General features: G+C 47.3%; 1 protein-coding gene across 12 annotated transcripts in view, besides 4 other annotated features; it reads right to left on the bottom strand.

Annotated features, from left to right (window-relative positions):
• SLC39A14 (solute carrier family 39 member 14) overlaps window positions 1-10,350 on the bottom strand; it is a 66,852-nt gene extending 56,502 nt beyond the window's left edge. For 10 of the 12 annotated variants that reach the window (NM_001135154.3, NM_001351656.2, XM_006716324.4 and 7 more), the window contains exon 1: window positions 10,220-10,350. The gene's annotated coding sequence lies outside the window, so the exon portion shown is untranslated. Of the gene's footprint in view, window positions 1-9,890; window positions 10,091-10,219 lie in introns of those variants that run through there. The other 2 variants (XM_047421655.1, NM_001135153.3) reach the window with 1 other exon arrangement.
• Window positions 8,932-9,110: a silencer, noted in NCBI's record as "fragment chr8:22226031-22226209 (GRCh37/hg19 assembly coordinates)". NCBI's record gives its function as "represses an EF-1alpha promoter that drives an FKBP-Casp9 reporter gene in an ReSE screen in K562 erythroleukemia cells {active_cell/tissue: K562}" and the evidence as "EXISTENCE:reporter gene assay evidence [ECO:0000049][PMID:32094911]".
• Window positions 9,466-9,715: an enhancer, noted in NCBI's record as "active region_27078". NCBI's record gives its function as "activates an Ori minimal core promoter by ATAC-STARR-seq in GM12878 lymphoblastoid cells {active_cell/tissue: GM12878}" and the evidence as "EXISTENCE:reporter gene assay evidence [ECO:0000049][PMID:35858748]".
• Window positions 10,036-10,705: a silencer, noted in NCBI's record as "silent region_18984". NCBI's record gives its function as "represses an Ori minimal core promoter by ATAC-STARR-seq in GM12878 lymphoblastoid cells {active_cell/tissue: GM12878}" and the evidence as "EXISTENCE:reporter gene assay evidence [ECO:0000049][PMID:35858748]".
• Window positions 11,251-11,751: an enhancer, noted in NCBI's record as "H3K4me1 hESC enhancer chr8:22223390-22223890 (GRCh37/hg19 assembly coordinates)". NCBI's record gives its function as "activates a minimal SCP1, AML or CMV promoter by ChIP-STARR-seq in primed H9 embryonic stem cells {active_cell/tissue: H9 hESC(primed)}" and the evidence as "EXISTENCE:reporter gene assay evidence [ECO:0000049][PMID:30033119]".

Below are 18,214 nucleotides of genomic sequence, written 5' to 3'. Positions count from 1 at the left end.
AGAAGTCATCATGAAAAGGGAAAGACTAAAATAAAACGAACTTTTTGAGGTTAGATCAGAATAAGCGTTATCAGTACAAACTCATATTCTTTAGCATACATATATACAGATAGGTGCTGAATTATCTGTTTCCTAGCTTTGTCTGCTGAGAGGACCCAGAAGCAATGATAACTGCTGTAGCAATGAACATACCTAGCAACCAGACCTTGGTTTCTAAACAGCATTCTCCAATAAAGGAAAGCAGGACTCCGTGGAGAAGTGCCTGACTCTAGGGCTGGGGCAGCGAAGTTACAAGATGAGCCTGGAATATTTTGTAGTAAAGGAAATTAAGGAAACACTTAAAAAAAAAAATGGCAGGGGCTTACCAGAAGAACACAGGAGACAACCGGAAGGAGCTCCCAAAATGGTCAAAGCTAGAACAATTTGAGCCTCAAAAAATATTATTCAACTTTAACCCACAGAACAAAATCTGATTATGAATAACCAAATGCATAAATAAATGGGGAAGCAGGGCCAGCTCTTGCTTACAAAGAATTCCAATAAATAAATGTACAAGAGGGAAATAGAGAATCATTAGTCAAACATCACAGTCATCATTGTTGCAAGCAGGGTCTACAGATGGGTGCTAAAATTAGGGGATGAAAGTACAAGGAGAAACAGGATTTGCATAGTCTCAAAGTATCTCCTGAAACTACAAAGGGAAAGAAAGATAACTTCTTCAGTTTATCCATTCAGTATTTTTTTTTTCCCCAGACATTGTCTCACTCTGTTGCCCAGGCTGGAGTGCAGTGGCTCCATCTCAGCTCACTGCAGCCTCCACCTCCCAGGTTCAAGCGATTCTCCTGTCTCAGCCTCCCGAGTAGCTGCAATTACAGGTGCATGTCACCATGCCTGGCTAATTTTTGTATTTTTAGTGGAGATGGGGTTTCACCATGTTGGCTAGGCTGGTCTTGAACTCCCGACGTCGGCCTTTGCCTGCCTCGGCCTCCCAAAATGCTAGGATTATAGGTGTGAGCCACCGTGCCTGGCCCCATTCAGTTTTTGTAAAACAACAACAACAGAAAACCCACCTTTTTTCAGTGTGGAAATCAAGCAGACACCAGCCAATCTAGATAAATGTCACCAGTAAAAAAATACTCCAACATGGCCGAGTGCAGTGGCTCACGCCTATAATCCCAACACTTTGGGAGGCTGAGGTGGGTGGATCACTTGAGCTCAGGAGTTCAAGACTAGCCTGGACAACATGGTGAAACCCTGTCTCTACTGAAAATACAAAAAAAAAAAAAAAAAAAATTAGGTGTGGTGGCTCATGCCTGTAATCCCAGCTACTTGGGAGGCTGAGGCAGGAGAATTGCTTGAAACTGGGAGGTGGAGGCTGCAGAGAGCCGAGATCACACCACTGCCCTCCAGCCTGTGCACTGAGTGAGACCCTGTCTCAAAATTAACAACAACAACAAAAAACTGTGACATGATGAATACCTCTAAAGGATGCAACATCACTTTGCGTTCCAACATTCTAGCAAGAAAAGAGGGAGAGACTGCCACAGATTGCAGCAAACTAAGGAGAAATAACTAAACAGTGTGGGATCCCATATCAGATCCTGGAAACAGCAAATGGACATTAGTGAAAATATTGGTGACGTTTAAATAAGGCCTGCAGTTTAGTTAACAGTGTTATGCCAATGTTGATTTCCTGCTCCTGATTATATAATTATACTCTGGGGTGAGGAATATAAAGGAATTCTGCTATATTTTTGCAACTCTTCTGTACATCTAAAATTAGTTCAAAAGAAAAGTTTAAAATAAAAGGAAATGGTTAAGCAAACTAAGATACAGCCATGGCTGGGTGCAGTGGCTCATGCCTGTAATCCCAGCACTTTGGTAAGCCAAGGCGGGTAGATCACCTGAGGTCGAGTTTGAGATCAGTCTGGCCAACATGGCGAAACCCCACCTCTACTAAAAACACAAAAATTAGCCGGGCATGGTGGTGCATGCCTGTAATCCCAGCTATTATTAGGGGGCGCTGAGGCAGGAGAATTGCTTGAACCTGGGAGGCGGAGGTTGCAGTGAGCCGAGATTGTGCCACTGCACTCCAGCCTGGGCAACAGAGTGAGACTCCGTCTCAAAAAAAAAAAAGATACAGCCATAAGGCAGAATAAATGCTTAGGGAGAAATTTTGATGTCGAGGTAAGATGGGTGTAGATAGCCAATTGTATCCCCTCCCCCCAAAAAAAAAACAACTGTAAGGAAATATGCCAATATGTAAAGAGAGACTGCAGCAGGATTATCGACTTTCCCCCAAATACTTTTTTGCACTTTACAATATGCATGCATTACTTTTAATAATCAGAAGGAAATAAAGTCGACAAAAATACCAAACAATTGTTTGGGGGAATTCTGTGTATAGTTAATCACATCTATTACAGTTTCTGGGAGAGACTTCTAAGGGCTGTGTTCAGACTGGAAAGGAGGCTGCTAGATGCTTCTGAGGGCTAAGGAAGGTGGCAGGAGGCTGGAGGAAGTGGACTGGTACAGAGGACATGGACGTGGGGCCATGGAGTTGCTCCAGATAAGAGCAGGCTGGCCAGGCGCGGTGGCTCACGCCTGTAATCCCAGCACTCTGGGAGGCCAAGGCGGGTGGATCACTTGAGGTCAGGAGTTCGAGACCAGGCTGGCCAACATGGTGGAACCCCATCTCTACTAAAAACACAAAAATTAGCTAGGTGTGGTGGTGTGCACCTGGAGTCCCAGCTACCTGGGAGGCTGTGATGGGAGAATCGCTTGAGCTCAGGAGGGGAGGTTTCAGTGAGCTGAGATCATACCCACTGCACTCTAGCCTGGGCAACAGAGTGAGACCCTGTCTCAAAAAAAAAAAAAAAAAAAAAAAGAGCAGGCTGGCAGGCTGCACCCCAAGACAGAGGGCTGCTGGCAAGTCTCTGATATGGAAACAGCTCTGAGTTCCAAGAGAACACTCGTACCTTAGACACCCGAGCCATTCAAGACTCCTAGACCCAACGTACATTTCCAGCTACCTCACTTGCTGCTCCCTCTCAGCCACTCTGGGCCACGTGTACCATCCCACCAGCATTCACACGGCTCTCCTTACCAGGACCCTGCTCTCTCTCCCGCTTCCTAGCTTTCAAGATGTGGCTCAGTCCCTCCCCAAGAAGCCTTCTCTGTCACCTCCTGCCACTCCCTCCTCTGGCCTCACCCAGTACCCCTCCTCTGTTCCACTTACTGCAGCTTCAGGAAGGCCATCCTGCATCTGACTTTCCACACATGCATAGCTCCTCACACATTTCACAAGCATCTCGGGAATGGAGATGGTACTCAGCAGCTCTCTTAGCTGAGCGCCACTGGACTGCTCAAGGACCCCAGGTCTCCAGTCCCTCCCTGCAGCCAACAGGCCCCTCGCCAGGTGGCCAACCTCCCCCCAACCCCACCACCTGCTGTCACCATTGAGGGTTCCCATGCCAACAGCTGTGCCTATTCCCAAACCTCTTTATGCAGGTTCTATTTATTTAAATGATTATGATTTATTTAAATAACAACTGAGGGCTGGGCACGGTGGCTCACGCCTTTAGTCCCAGCACTTCAGTCCCAGCACTTCGGGAGGCCAAGACCGGTGGATCACTTGAGCTCGAGTTCGAGACCAGCCTGGCCACCATGGCGAAACCCCATGTCCACTAAAAATACAAAAAATTAGCTGGGCGTGGTGGCGCGTGTCTGCATCCCAGCTACTTGAGAGGCTGAGGCAGAAGAATCACTTGAACCTGGGAGGTATAGGTTGCGGTGAGATTGCGCTACTGCACTCCCGCCTGGGTGACAGAGAGACACTCTGCCTTGGAAAAAAAAAAAAAAACGAGAAAACAAAAACAAAAAACCCTGAAGAATAAATGCAAAGAAAAATGTCTGACTTCTGAGAAATTTAAGCTAAGTGATCTCGAACAGTAATTCTGAAATTACTGTCTTATATGACACCTGGGGTCCCTGAAGTAAAAGACTATTTTTATTCTAATATACAAAAATTAAAAGCTTTTCACTCTCACTTTTCAGAAGCTACATGAAATGTGACACGTACCTGTGTCATCTTGAGTCTTTGAGAAATTTCTAAGGTAGAAGTTTAGGGTATAATATAATATATAGGTGGTCTCAGAGATTAGCTCAATTTGTTCTCAGAACTTTTAACTGACTTCTTAACAGCAAATTTAAGTTACACCTATTATAACCTGTTATCTCATTATCATCCAATAAATAATTATTTTAAAATCCTGAAATTTCTAAAAATATGCTAACAAGGCCATTCTTTTGACTACTTTATTTTGGAAAATATAGTTATTTTTCATGAAACTTTTTTTTTTTTTTTGAGATGGAGTCTCGCTCTGTCACCAGGCTGGAGTGCAGTGGCGTAATCTTGGCTCACTGCAACCTCTGCTTCCCAGGTTCAAGCGATTCTCCTGCCTCAGCCTCCAGAGTAGCTGGGACTACAGGCGTGCACCACCACACCCAGCTAATTTTTTGTATTTTTAGTAGAGACGAGGTTTCACCATGTTGGCCAGGATGGTCGGGATCTCTTGACCTTGTGATCTGCCCAGCTCGGCCTCCCAACATGCTGGGATTATAGGTGTGAGTCACTGCGCCCGTTCAAAACATTTTTTTTTTTAATGTTAACGTGTAATCGCCTTATTTTTGCTTTTTAAATGAATAAATAACTATTTTAAAATTTCTCAGTCTTGAGGCTGAGGCAGAAGGATCGCTTGAAGCCAGAGTTTAAGACTAGCTTGGGTAACGTAGTGAGACCATGTCTCAAAAAAATTTTTCTTTACTTAGTTTTAATTTTTAATATACTATCAATACAGATAGCCACATATACAAAAGACAATGTAAGGGGTCCTAGCATCAAAAAGTTTGAGAATTACTCATCTAGAAAGATTTGTTGCAAATGGAAAAATAATAAAAAGCTGAAATTAAACTAGGTATGTACATAAAAGCAGTAACTGGATTCCGAACATGGCTGTTTTGCAAATATCTCTTGTCTTCGCTTCATTTTTTTATTTAGTGAAAGCTAATTAACAGATTTAACCTTTTACCCAGCGATTCCACTTCACAGATATATTCTGCAAACATAAGCGCAGACAGGGTGATATGTGTGTTGGTTAAAAAAGATGATACTTCCATACTATGCAATACTACACAGCTATGACAGAGAATGCTAAAAGCATTCTATGTGCTGATATGGAAAAGATCTTAATATAGTTGCTAGGTGAAAAAAGCAAGGTGCTGAATGATGTTTAAAATGCTACCTTGGAGCATTTATTGAAAAGCTGGGGGAAGACAAGGTTTTGCTGTTTTTTACCGTCTTGATTTTTCAACTATGTGAATACGGAGCCTAGTAGGAAAAAAAAATTTAATAAAATGAAAGAAATGAGAAATTACAGGTAATACATTTAAGTATGATTTTTATATACAAACAATTTCTAAGTAGTCTAAATAAGGGATCTAAAGACTCAAAGGAAAGGGCTTGGCCCTAAATCAAAGTTTTGGTGAATAAAAATACATACATGTTTTAAAGATAAAATAAAGGGGCCGGGTGCAAGTGGCTCACACCTGTAATCCCAGCACTTTGGGAGGCTGAGGCGGGCGGATCACAAAGTCAGGAGTTGGAGACCAGCCTGGCCAACATGGTGAAACCTCGTCTCTACTAAAAATACAAAAATTAGCCAGGCGTGGTGGCGGGCGCCTATAATCCTAGCTACTCGGGAAGCTGAGGCAGGAGAATGGCTTGAACCCGGGAGGCAGAGTTTGCAGTGAGCCGAGATCGTGCCACTGCACTCCAGCCTGGGCCACAGAGCAAGGCTCCGTCTCAAAAAAAAAAAAAAAGATAAAAGATATGATTTGGCTGGGCACAGTGGCTCATGCCTGTAATCCCAGCACTTTGGGAGGCCGAGGTGGGTAGATCACGAGGTCAGGAGTTCAAAACCAGCCTGGCCAACATGGTGAAACCCCGTCTCTACTAAAAATACAAAAATTAGCCAAGTGTGATGGCAGGCACCTGTGATCACAGCTACTTGGGAGGCTGGGGCAGAGAATTGCTTGAACCCAGGAGGCAGAGGTTGCAGTGAGCCGAGATCGCACCACTGCACTCCAGCCTGGGCGACAGAGCGAGACTCCGTCTCAAAAAAAAAAAAAAAAAAAAAAAAAAAAAAAAAAAAAGACATGTATTTTTTTTTTAGATATCCAACTTTTATCTGATTTTTTTTATTAACTACTAATACTGAATGCACTGCCTACGAGGGCCATTAGGAACTCGGCGGTAATAAATGTAGGGCATTCACCTTCTCATTCCACCAAGCCCCAAGATTCTCTGGGGCCTGCCCTTGGAGGGAGGTTAGGAGTTCTAACAACAGTCCGATCTCCAGTTGCCAAGGCGGAGAATTCGGTTTCCCATGGCTGGGCACTCTGGGCTCCCTTGGGCAGGCCAATTCTGTGGCTTTCCCGGCCTCTTTTCCTTGTGCAGGTCAGAGGGCCCAGCCTCTGCGTCTCTGCCTCTGCCAGGCCCAACCAGGGGCCCCCTGAGAGGTTTAATGCCCACGGTAGTGGGGGGAGGGGGGAACAAGATAGTGGGGCTTCGTGACCCTGTGTTCTAGGGCCTGCCCTCCTGTCCCCTAGGTGGGCATGAAGCCCTGGCTGGCGACAGTCGATGGGGCGGACTCTGGACTCCTTATCTCCTGGCATTCCACCAGCCCACCAGCCTGGAGGTCAGAGAAGCCCCACTGCAGACACCCGGTGAGTCCCGGCTGGGCTGAGCAGCAGGTCCCTTCCCTGCTCACTCCCCAGCCTCCCATGTCTCCAGGGAGTCTGGAAAGAGTAAGAGACTCCTCCAGAAGAAACTAACACCCCCTCCCTCAATAAGCACAGGGACAAATGGCCCCTTCCTCTTCTAGTTTCCAAGCAAAGACTGGAGGTGTCAGCAATTTCATAATCACATTTAGGATCAAAAATAGAACCCTTCTTTGGTCTTCTCCATCAAGTCTCTTGGCCACTGGCAACCATGTGACTCGGGAATACCAATTCACCTCCCTGGATCCAGTTTCTTTCACTGTAAAATAAAGGTGCTGGACTCCAAGATCACCAAAGTCCCCTGCTCAACATTCCATGGTTGTGGGGCTCAGCAACATGGTGCAGCATTACCTTGGCCAGGTCAGGTGCAGGCAGGCTATTATCCTGACATAGTGGGGAGAGGGAGGTCCTGGTTCCCAGGCACGCACAATCTATTCACAACACTACTGTGTAAACCCCATGATTCTGCAAATGTTGGACAGGGATTGAGTTTCCTCTTGGAATAGTGCAGGGTGTGAGCAGGTAAGGAAGGAGGAAGAAGGTAAGCAGGGTTTAAAAACAGAACCAGTCCTGTGAGTGATATATACCCTACACACACGCACACGCACATGTGCACAGATGTGCACACACACACACAAGCACACACCCACCACCCAGGCACACACAGGCATTGTTACTCCTTCCTGGCTACCATCAGCCCAGAGAAGGAGCATTTCTTCTCTGAAGAAATCAGAGCAGCTCCCAGAACCAAAGGTAGAAAAAAGTTTGTTTTCCCTAAAATTGCCCAATTGATCTGTGGGACAATCCCTGGCAGGCCACAGAAAAGCGGCCTTCCCAGAAGGGCAGGGAAATTGCATCCATGTTGCCAAGGAAGAGATGAATCAACCCTACGCCTGGGCTCACACCATTCCTACAACCCAACCCAACTATCAGCCTCTGGGACCCCTAAATAACCCACTCCACCCCACAAAAATTATGACGATGAGAATGATGACAAGCAGCCCTCTACTATGTTCCAGGCAAAATCACGACATCCTGCAAGCTGGTGAGAACAGAAGTTAAGAAATTTCTCACTGCTGGAGAGTGACGGGGCCAGGAATTGAACAGAGACCCACCTATCTCAAAAGGCCAGAATTATTCCCGTCTTTCAAGGATGCCCGCTCTCTGAACTGAACTGTGCACAGTATGGAGGCTTCTCTTGTGTTGCTATCTTGTTCTTCACCCGTGGATGCTGTTTCTCCCCAAGAGTTTGCACTGGAAGGGTGGGGGCCAGGCCTTCTGCGTGCACCCGCCATGGTGGCCACTGCAGAGCCCAGCACAGACCAGGCAATGTACATCCACAGGCTAAGAGTCCCAGAGCCCAAAATTCTTACTCTGGCCTAAAATACAAGGCCAATGATGCAGCTGCTCCAGCCCCCAAGTCCTCAGGTCAGTGAGTTCCTCTAGCCTCTGCACTGGCTGGCCAGCTGTCAGTCAACACCTGGATCGAATCTCCCGCTCAGCACTGCCCTCCCTCAAGGCCCCAGAGGCCAGATGAGTAAAATATGATAAATTAAGCAAGAACCTGCTTTTGGCCTGGCCCTTTGGGAAGAGACAGTATCCAGAGGACCCCCTTCCACTGTCTGGTGCCCTCTAGTCTTACCTGCAAACCAACCCCAGCAAGAGGACCACTAGCCTATCTCCTGGCTACCACACAGGTAATGGAAAACTCACCTCTCTGAGCCTCCACCAGGAAAAGGAACATGTGGCTTTTAATTCCAGCTGCTAAGTTATGATTCTGGACATCCCTTCTCTTGCTTTACCAAGGATGTATATCCTTGGGGTGGCTCCATGGGGCTCTGGGGTCTGGACTTCGCTTTTCAGGAGCTGCGTCCCGGGGGATATGCATCCAAGGATGTATATGGACAAGTTCTTGTCCATATTTAGGACTTAGGTTTTAAGAGGTAAGGATAGGCCGGGCAGGGTGGCTCACGCCTGTAATCCCAGCACTCTGGAAGGCTGAGGTGGGCGGATCACGAGGTCAGGAGATCGAGACCATCCTGGCTAACACGGTGAAACCCCGTCTCTACTAAAAATACAAAAAATTAGCCGGGCATGGTGGCACGCGCCTGTAGTCCCAGCTACTCGGGAGGCTGAGGCAGGAGAGTCGCTTGAACCCGGGAGGCGGAGGTTGCAGTGAGCCGAGATCGCGCCACTGCACTCTTGCGTGGGCAACAGAGTGAGACTCCGTCTCAAATAAAATAAAATACAATAAAATAAAATAAAATAAAATAAAATAAAATAAAATAAAATAAAATAAAAGAGGGAAGGATTACGGAATTGTATATGCTGTGGTTAAGGAGATCTAGTCTGACCGTGGTACTGACCTGACCCTCCCAAGGTCACAGGGCCAGTTAAGAGCAGAGCAGGGACAGAGGCCAGGGCTAACTCCCAGGCCACTCCTCAGCAGGAGCACAGCCGTCCCAATGGCCTGGGGCTCCTAGGGGAGAGCCACTAAAGACGTAAACCCAAACCAGGCTTGCTCCAGGAAGAAGGGTCAGGTCAAAGCTGCTCCTAACCCCACGCTTCCATTCGGGCCACAAGAGAGCACTTAGCCACTCCCCAATTGTGTCCGGAGTCCTCCTGTACAGCCGAGCCCTTTAACTGTTTAGAGAAGCCTGTCTCTGGAACCCAGGCCCTGGCAAGCACCAGATCCTCAAAAGTGAACCCCTAGTCCAGAGCTGACGAAATTTTCCCGGCTCAACTGGACCTCAGGATCAGATGATGAAACTGCTCGGATGGCGACTTTGTCCCACTGCCCTCACCCACCAAGAGGGGGCAGCCTGAACCCGACCACCTAACTTGGTCATTAAGGACCAAAAATAGCCAGAAAGCCATCCTCGTGGGCAAGCCAGGTTGGAGATTCGCTCAGCCGGAAGATTGGGTACATGTACCTTCAGAGGGGAGATGGACCGGCGGGGGCCCGGGGACGCAGCTCCTGAAAAGCAAAGTCCAGACCCCAGAGCCCCATAGAGCCGCCCCAAGAGCCGCCCCTCGGATTGGCCACCTACTGTCTGCGTTCTGCGTCCGTGTCCGCGCGGGGAATCCGGGAGCCTGGCTCAGCCTTCGGCGCGGCGACCCACGCTCTGGGCACCCTTCTGCGGCTCTAGCATCCCGCACCCTCCAGGCGGACAGGCCGCGCCTTGACCTCTCCCCTCGCCAGCGCGGCACCACGGCCAGGTGCAGCCTCCACCCAGCCGTCCGGGCGTGTGCCGGTGCCCGGGAGCGGCGCCCGGTCCTCGGCGCAGGGCTGTCCCCGCCCCCACCCACTGCCCCAGCCTGGGGTGCGGGGCTCCTCCGCCGCTGCCCATCCCGCGGCCCTTGGCGTCCCCGCCCTCACCTGGCGCTCGGAGGCGGCCTCGGCCCCGCGCAGCCTCACCGCAAGGTCCCAGGCGGCCGGCGGCGGCAGAAGCAGCTTAGCCGGTGCGTCCGCGTAGACACGCGCGCCGACCCCCCTCACTGCGTCCGGGCCCCGGCACCGCGCGCATGCCCGGCTATATACCCGGCGCGTCAGCGGCCGGACCCGCCCCCGGCCCGCCCCGCTCGCCCCGGGGCTGCCACGTGGGGCCGGCAGGCTGGGGACCTGGCCAGCCTGCGCCCTCCTGCGCCTCGCGGCCCTGGCTGTGGTCGGCGCCCGCTCCCATCCTTCATCCGGCCGTGACTCCCGAGGACCCGCAGGCTCCTCCTGCCTCCGGAAACCTCCCGTGAAGACCTGCTCCCTGGGCGCGGGAAGCTCTCACCGCCTAGCCTCCACCCCACACCCCCTGGAGGAGAGTCCTACCCACTCTATTTGAATGTGATTTTACCACTTCTGGTTCACCCAAAAAGCTTTTCTCTTCCCTCCCCAGTTCGGAAAGGTACTTCAGAAGGGGACGCGCCCTTAGATGGTGTTTCTTCTGCATATTTCCACCAGCCAAAAGAACCAAAATTTCCTGGTCGAGTTCCAAATAAACCATATTATATTCACTTTTCAGACTTGATGCCGCACCGCTTCCCACAATGATCAGACGCCTAAAGAACCCTACTAACCCAAAGTTGGGAGAAATGTTAATTTGGGGGTGAAGAAGTTCCGAGGAGACTCTTCCTCTGTGGGACAGTCCCATTGAGATGTATATCAGGCCTGGGAAATGTAGTCGATTTCTTGAGAAAATAAACCACCCTTTCCACTCCCATTGTTCTGTTCTGCAGGACATCAGGACAATTTCCTCTATGAGCTGAACCCGCTGCCACCTGGGCCTTGGGGGGCTCGGAGGAAGGGCTTTCTAGCCCAACTGTCGCGGCTTAGTACTCGAGCTGATCCTAGCACAGTGACTGGTCCCCAGACGGCACTAGCTGTCTCTAAATTTGCGCAGGGAAGGGGGCAACATCCCACTCTCTGCAGGTCTTGCGGGGAGGACCCCCGTGATGGCGGCGCTAAGGAGAAAAGGAAAGCAGACAGTCGCTGGAGCCGGTAGCAAGAACTCAGGAGCTTGCTCTTCGCCAGGCCAGAGGGGGTCAGATTCTTCATATTACTTTTGAAGAGTGTAGCTGGGCCCCGGGCGTTTCTAAAATTCAATTATCCTCACCCCGTAATTACAGTGCTGCAGTGGGTATGGGGGCAGGGTGATATTCCTCTCATTTATTTTCCAAGTGATTTCAAAGTAATGATATCTCTTGCAGAATTTCCCTCAGAGCCCCTTCATCTTTGTAATAACCCTATTTCTCTCTTGGTTAAACTCGGTGCTTTCCAGACATTATGTCATCCGTTTGGGACTCTCATCCCACTGCAGTGGGCTGTGAGAAAGGGGCCAGTCCCCGCCACACCTTTTGTTGAAGCACTGGAAAAGGAGTGAGAAGCCCACCCAGAGATAAAGTGAAATAAGTATGCTTCCAACACACAGAGCTCTGAAGGGTATGAAGCCCGTAAACACATATCCTAATGGAGTGTTAAATCTCTTAAAACCAAAGCTGGAGAGCAATCCCATGGCTTTTCCAGGCAAGTTGTCAATACTGTCCACAGGAGAACTAGGCACCCTTCAAGGAGATTGCTCGGCAGAGAGGGGGCAGGACCAGACACCCCACCACCGGGCCTATCATGGCGTTCTCACTTGTTTTCAACCACACTAAAGGTGGAGCTGTCAAAGTCCACATAGGCAAGCAGAGCTGATAAGCTATCAGTAATCCATTAGGGAATACAATTAATTATTAACAAAAGGTCTTAACTCTCCATATCTACCCACACACAAAATTCTTTAGGCATCTCTTAAATCCTTCCTTGTTGCTGGGTAGTTCTCAGTTTCTCATTCCTGGTGCCAGGCTTGGAGGCCCACTTCTCTCTGCTCTCCACTTTTTTTTTTTTTTTTTTTTTTGAGACAGAGTCTCTGTAGCCCAGGCTGGAGTGCAGTGGTGCAATCTCGGTTCACTGTAACCTCCCCCTCCCAGGTTCAAGTGGTTCTCCTGCCACAGCCTCCTGAGTAGCTGGGATTACAGGAGCCCGCCACCCTGCCTGGCTAGTATTTGTATTTTTATTAGAGACAAGGTTTCACCATGTAGGCCAGGCTGATCTCCAACTCCAAGCTCAAATGATCTGCCCACCTCGGCCTCCCAAAGTGCTGAGATTACAGGCGTGAGCCACTGCGACCGGCCTCTGCTCTCCACTTTTTCCTCTCATTACCCATTTTCACTTGTCAAAATTCTAACTCTCCAAAGTCACCTCTCGCCTGCAAGCTTGTGGATTTTTCTGAAGCATGTTTGAACTACCCTTTCCTATTTTTGACTGTAACCCACATTAAAAACATTTAACACTGCAACTCCAATATAAGTAACAATACGGCAAACAAAAATTTCACAAAATATCCATAAAGATATGCATTGCAATGATATTTTGTTATAGTTCAATTTAAAAAAAAAAAAGTGATAACAAACCCACTAAGTTGACTTCATGACCATTATTAGGTTGTGATCCACAGAATTAAAACTTTATATGGTTTATGGTACTTATATTTTTTCCCTTAAAATTATTTCACTTTAATCTCCAACCTTATTAGACCTTAATCTGCCTTGATTACACGAGATTTCCCTATATACCTGTATCTCCTAAAGTAACATCTTGCATATAACAGAGTCTCAATAAATATTTGCTGGATGAATGAACGGGCTGGCTCACTAAAAGTTTGGTGTTGGGCAATATTTAAGGGAACTTAGCACAAAAATCTGACATTTTCATTGCTACTGTTTTCCTTCTGACAAGACACCATAGCTACCTGCCAAAAGATACATAGCCAGATCTCCCGTAGCTGAGGTGACTAGAACAGCCTTGGGAAATAAGCCAGAGAAATGAGATTCTAGCCCTGATTGTGCAGACAGTGGGCTGGGGACTCCAGATGAAAGCCCTCTGTGCGGTTTGTGGTGACAAGGTAAGCAACTTGACCACGTAGATGAGGTAAAATCCCTCTGCACCCCAGGTCTTAAGGCCAGCTTTTCATTTTTCTTTTTTTTGAGATGGAGTTTCACTCTTGTTGCCCAGGCTGGAGTGCAATGGCATGATCTTGGCTCACTGCAACCTCCACCTCCTGGGTTCAAATGATTCTCCTGCTTCAACCTCCCGAGTAGCTGTGAATACAGGGGCACGCCACCACGCCTGGCTAATTTTTGTATTTTTAGTAGAGAGGGGGTTTCGCCATGTTGACCAGGCTGGTCTCAAACTCCTGACCTCAGGCAATCCACCCACCTCGGCCTCCCAAAGGGCTGGGATTATAGGCGTGAGCCACCATGCTGGCCTTAGGCGCACTTTTCTTACAGTCTGTCTGGAGGTCAGTGACCAGATTTCTCTGGTGCTTTATTGGGAAAAAATGAATTTTCTGTTTTGGGATGGCTTAACAAATTTAAGAGGATTGGAAGGAATGTGAAGGTTCTATTCAACCCGAAATCATGTCAGAGGGCTCAAGTACTAGCTCCCTACATTGTCAGCTGAAAGAGAAGAGCTTTAGAGGCCTCAATTGTTCATTTCTGTTGTCATCTGATGGTTTTGACACACAAAAAAAGACAACTGGGAAAAATACTTTGTTTAGTAAGCTATAGAAATCTGTGCATTTTAGCTAAGTTGTCTAATTTTTTGGCAAACAACTGTTCATAGTATTCCCTTACAGTATCTTTTCTTTATTCCCTGTAAGTTTGGTAGTAATGTGCCCTCTTTCATTCCTGATTTTAGTAATTTGTGTCTTTTTTCTCTGTCATTCTAGTTAAAGGTTTGCCCATTTTGCTAATATTTTCAAAGAACCAACTTGTTTTGTTGATTTTCTCTATTGGTTTTCTGTTCTTCATTAATTTCTGTCCTGATCTTTATTTTTAAAATATTATTTTTGCCCTCACCTGTGAATGAGTGTTTAGTTGGGAATACAATTCTAACTTTACAGTTGCATCTTTTTTTTTTTCTTGAGACGGAGTCTCGCTGTGTTACCCAGGCTGGAGTGCAGTGGTGCAATCTCGGCTCACTGCGACCTCTGCCTCCTGGGTTCAAGTGATTCTTCTGCCTCAGCCTCCTGAATAGCTGGGATTACAGGTGCACGCCACCACGCCTGGCTAATTTTTGTATTTTTAGTAGAGACGGGGTTTCACCATGTTGGCCAGGCTGGTCTCAAACTCCTGACCTCAGGTGATCTGCCCACCTTGGCCTCCCAAAGTGCTGGGATTACAGGCATGTGCCACTGCGCCTGGCCTACGATTGCGTTTTAAAATTTCTATTCCTCTTGTCTTAAGGCATCTATTGTGGTTCAGGAAGTGTGTGCTGGTGGTTTGACTAACTTTCTTTGTAAGCAATCTCTTCAACTTCTGGTTGGTTTTGTTTAATTGACAAATAGTAATTGTACATATTTATGGGGTACAATGTGATGTCTGGATACCTGTACACATTGTGAAATGATCAGATCTGGGTAATTAGCATATCTATCATCTCAAATATATATATATGTATATAATATATACATATTCTTTTTTGCCTTGTCTTTGTCAGGCTATTCCTTTTTTTAAAAAAATCATTCCTTTGTAGTGGGAACATTTAAAATTCTTTTCACTATTTTAAAATATACAGTATTAACTATAGTCACCATACTGTGCAACGGAACACTAGAACTTATTCTTCCTAACTGTAACTTTATACCCATTGACCAATGTCTCCCCTTTTCCCTGTCAACCTCCCTCTACCCCCACCGTGTATCTGGCAACTCCCTTTCTATTCTCTACTTCTATGTTTGACTTTCTTAGATTCTACATACAAGTGAGATCATATGGTATTTGTCTCTCTATGCCTGGCTTATTTCACTTAACATAATGTTCTCTAAGTTCATTCAGGTTGTCATGAGTGACAGAATGTCCTGTTTTTGATTTAAAGCTGAATAGTATCCATTGTGTAAATGTACCACATTTTAAAAATCCATTCATCCGTTGATGGGCACTCAGGTTGTTTCCATATCTTGGCTATTGTGAACAGTGCTGCAATGAACATGTGAGTGCACATATCTCTTTGGCATACTGATTTCTTTCTTTTTGGAGACAGAGACTCGCTCTGTCACCCAGGCTGAAGTGCAGTGACACCATCTCGGCTCATTGCAACCTCTGCCTCCAGGGTTCAAGCGATTCTCATGCCTCAGCCACCCGAATAGCTGGGATTACAGGCGTGCAACACCGCGCCCAGCTAATTTTTGTATTTTTAGTAGAGACAGGTTTTCACCAGGTTGGCCAAGCTGGTTTGGAACTCCTGGCCTCCAGTGATCCACCCTTCTTGGCCTCCCAAAGTGCTGGGATTGCAGGTGTGAACCACCATGCCCCGCCCAGCATACTGATTTCAATTCCTTTGGGTATATACCCAGTAGTGGAATTGCTGGATCATATCTGGCTGTTTTGTTTTCACGATTCTGTCTTTCATGTTCTATAGTTTCACTATAGTTTATCTAGCAATGGATATGCTTTTCTTTTATTTTTTTGAGATGGAGTTTTGCTCTTGTTGCCTGGGCTGGAGTGCAATGGTGCAATCTTGGCTCACCATAACCTCCGCCTCCCGGGTACAAGCAATTCTCCTGCCTCAGCCTCCCGAGTAGCTGGGATTACAGGCATGCGCCACCACGCCTGGCTAATTTTGTATTTTTAGTAGAGACGGGGTTTCTCCATGTTGGTCAGGCTGGTCTCGAACTCCTGACCTCAGGTGATCTGCCCACCACGGCCTCCCAAAGTGCTGGAATTACAGGCGTGAGCCACTGCGCCCGGCCAGATATATTTTCTTTATCCCCAGTACGTTTCTTCAGTTAGACGATTCTTTTTCTTTCTTTTTTTTTTTTGAGATAAGGTCTCATTCTGTCACCCAGGCTGGAGTGCGGTGGTGCGATCACAGCTCACTGCATCCCCAACCTCCTGGCCTCAAGTGATCGTCCCACCTCAGCCTCCTGAATACCTGGGATACATGCATGTGCCACCATGCCTGGCTAATTTTTTATTTCTTTTGTAGAGACAGGGTTTCACCATGTTGCCCATGCTGGTCTAAAACTCCTGAGCTCAAGTGATCCACCCAACTTGGCCTCCCAAAGTGCTGGGATTACAGGTATAAGCCACCACACTGGCACGTATCTTTCATTCTGGAAAATTCTCAGTCTTTGCATCTTCCATATTGTGTGCCACCCATTCCTTCTATTTTAACCTGCAGGAACTTCTCTCAGACACATGTTGGACCTGCTCATTCTCTCTGGTCTCTTCTCTTCCATAGGTCCTATTTATACCTCTTTGTGCTGCAATCTAATGGACCGCATTGGTTTCCACAAGGCTCTGGAACTTTCACCAGTCTGGGTCAATCTTTATGTTAATTTTTCAGCTTGTGGCCCTTCAGCATGCTGGTAACAAAAATTCAGGCTACACACGTCTATCTGTATGTGGCCCAGGCTTGGGGATTTTTCATGGATGTCTTTTTCGCCCTATCCATTTCCCTGGTCAAACACCACATTTCCCTGCGGCCGCCCCAGCATGATTGGCAGGGGTTCTCTAGTCCCCTTCCAGCTTCCAGCTCTCTTCATGCAGGAGACTCAGCTGTAGCAATCCTGCACTTCGCAGGGGCTCAGGCTGTGTATGTCCTGGCCCTACCTGGAATGAAACCAGAATCCTGGGAGCTGTGCTAGTACCACTCAGCTTCCCTTTCCTTCTTGTAACAAATATTAACCTTCTCCCCTCCCCCACTCCCCTCTCCTTTCTTCCCTGGTAAGTTTGTTATAGCTGATAAACCTACACTGACATATTACCCAGAGTCCATAGTTTACATCAGGGTTCACTCTTAGTGTACATTCCGTGGGATCAGACAGATTCATAATGACATGTATTCACCATTACAGCATCACAGTGAATAGCTCCGCTGCCCTAAAAATCCTTTGTTTCTGCCCATTCATCTCTCGTCTCTCTCTCCACAACTGCTGATCCTTTTTTCTCCGAGACGGAGTTTTTCTCTTGTCGCCCAGGCTGGAGTGCAATGGCGTGATCTCAGCTCACTACAACCTCTGCCTCCTGCCTCAAGCGATTCTCCTGCCTCAGCTTCCCGAGTAGCTGGGATTACAGGTGCCCACCACCACACCCAGCTAATTTTTGTACTTTTAATAGAGACGGGGTTTTACCATGTTGGCCAGGCTGGTCTCGAACTCCTGACCTCATGATCCACCCACCTCGGCCTCCCAAAGTGCTGGGACTGCAGGTGTGAGCCACTGCGCCCGACCAAACTGCTGATCCTTTCACTATCTCCACGGTTTTGCCTTTTCCGGAATGTTATACGTTGGAGTCATATATAGCCTTTCCAGATTGGCTTTTTCCAATTTAGTAATATACATTAAAGTTCCTCTGTGTCTTTCCATGACTTGATAGCTCATTTCCTTTTAGTGCTGAATAATATTCCACTGTCCAGGTGCAGTTTGTCCATTCACCTACTGAAGCACATCTTGGATGCTTCCAAGTTTTGGAAACGATGAATACAGCTGCTATGAATGTCCGTGTGCAGGCTTTTGTGTGGACATGAGTTTTCATCCCCTTTGGGTAAACACCAAGGAGTATGACTGCTGCTCCATATGATAAGATTATGTATGTGGTTTTGTAATCCTGTTTAATTTTATTAAGAACTCTCTTCTCAAGTGGCTGTACCAGTTCCTGCAGCTCTGCAACCTCACCAGCATATGGCGTGGTTAAGTGTTGTGGATTTTGGCTATTCTACCAGGTATGGAATGGGTGCCTTGTTTTAATTTGTGGTTCCCTAAGGAGATATAATGTGGAGCATCTTTTCATACGTTTATTTACCATCTGTGCATCTTTGGCGATGTCTGTACAGGTCTATTGC

The sequence above is a fragment of the Homo sapiens genome, chromosome 8, assembly GCF_000001405.40.
Source record: "Homo sapiens chromosome 8, GRCh38.p14 Primary Assembly".
Taxonomy (NCBI): domain Eukaryota; kingdom Metazoa; phylum Chordata; class Mammalia; order Primates; family Hominidae; genus Homo; species Homo sapiens.
Note: the sequence above shows the minus strand (reverse complement) of the source record. Positions and strands in the feature narration are given on the sequence as shown.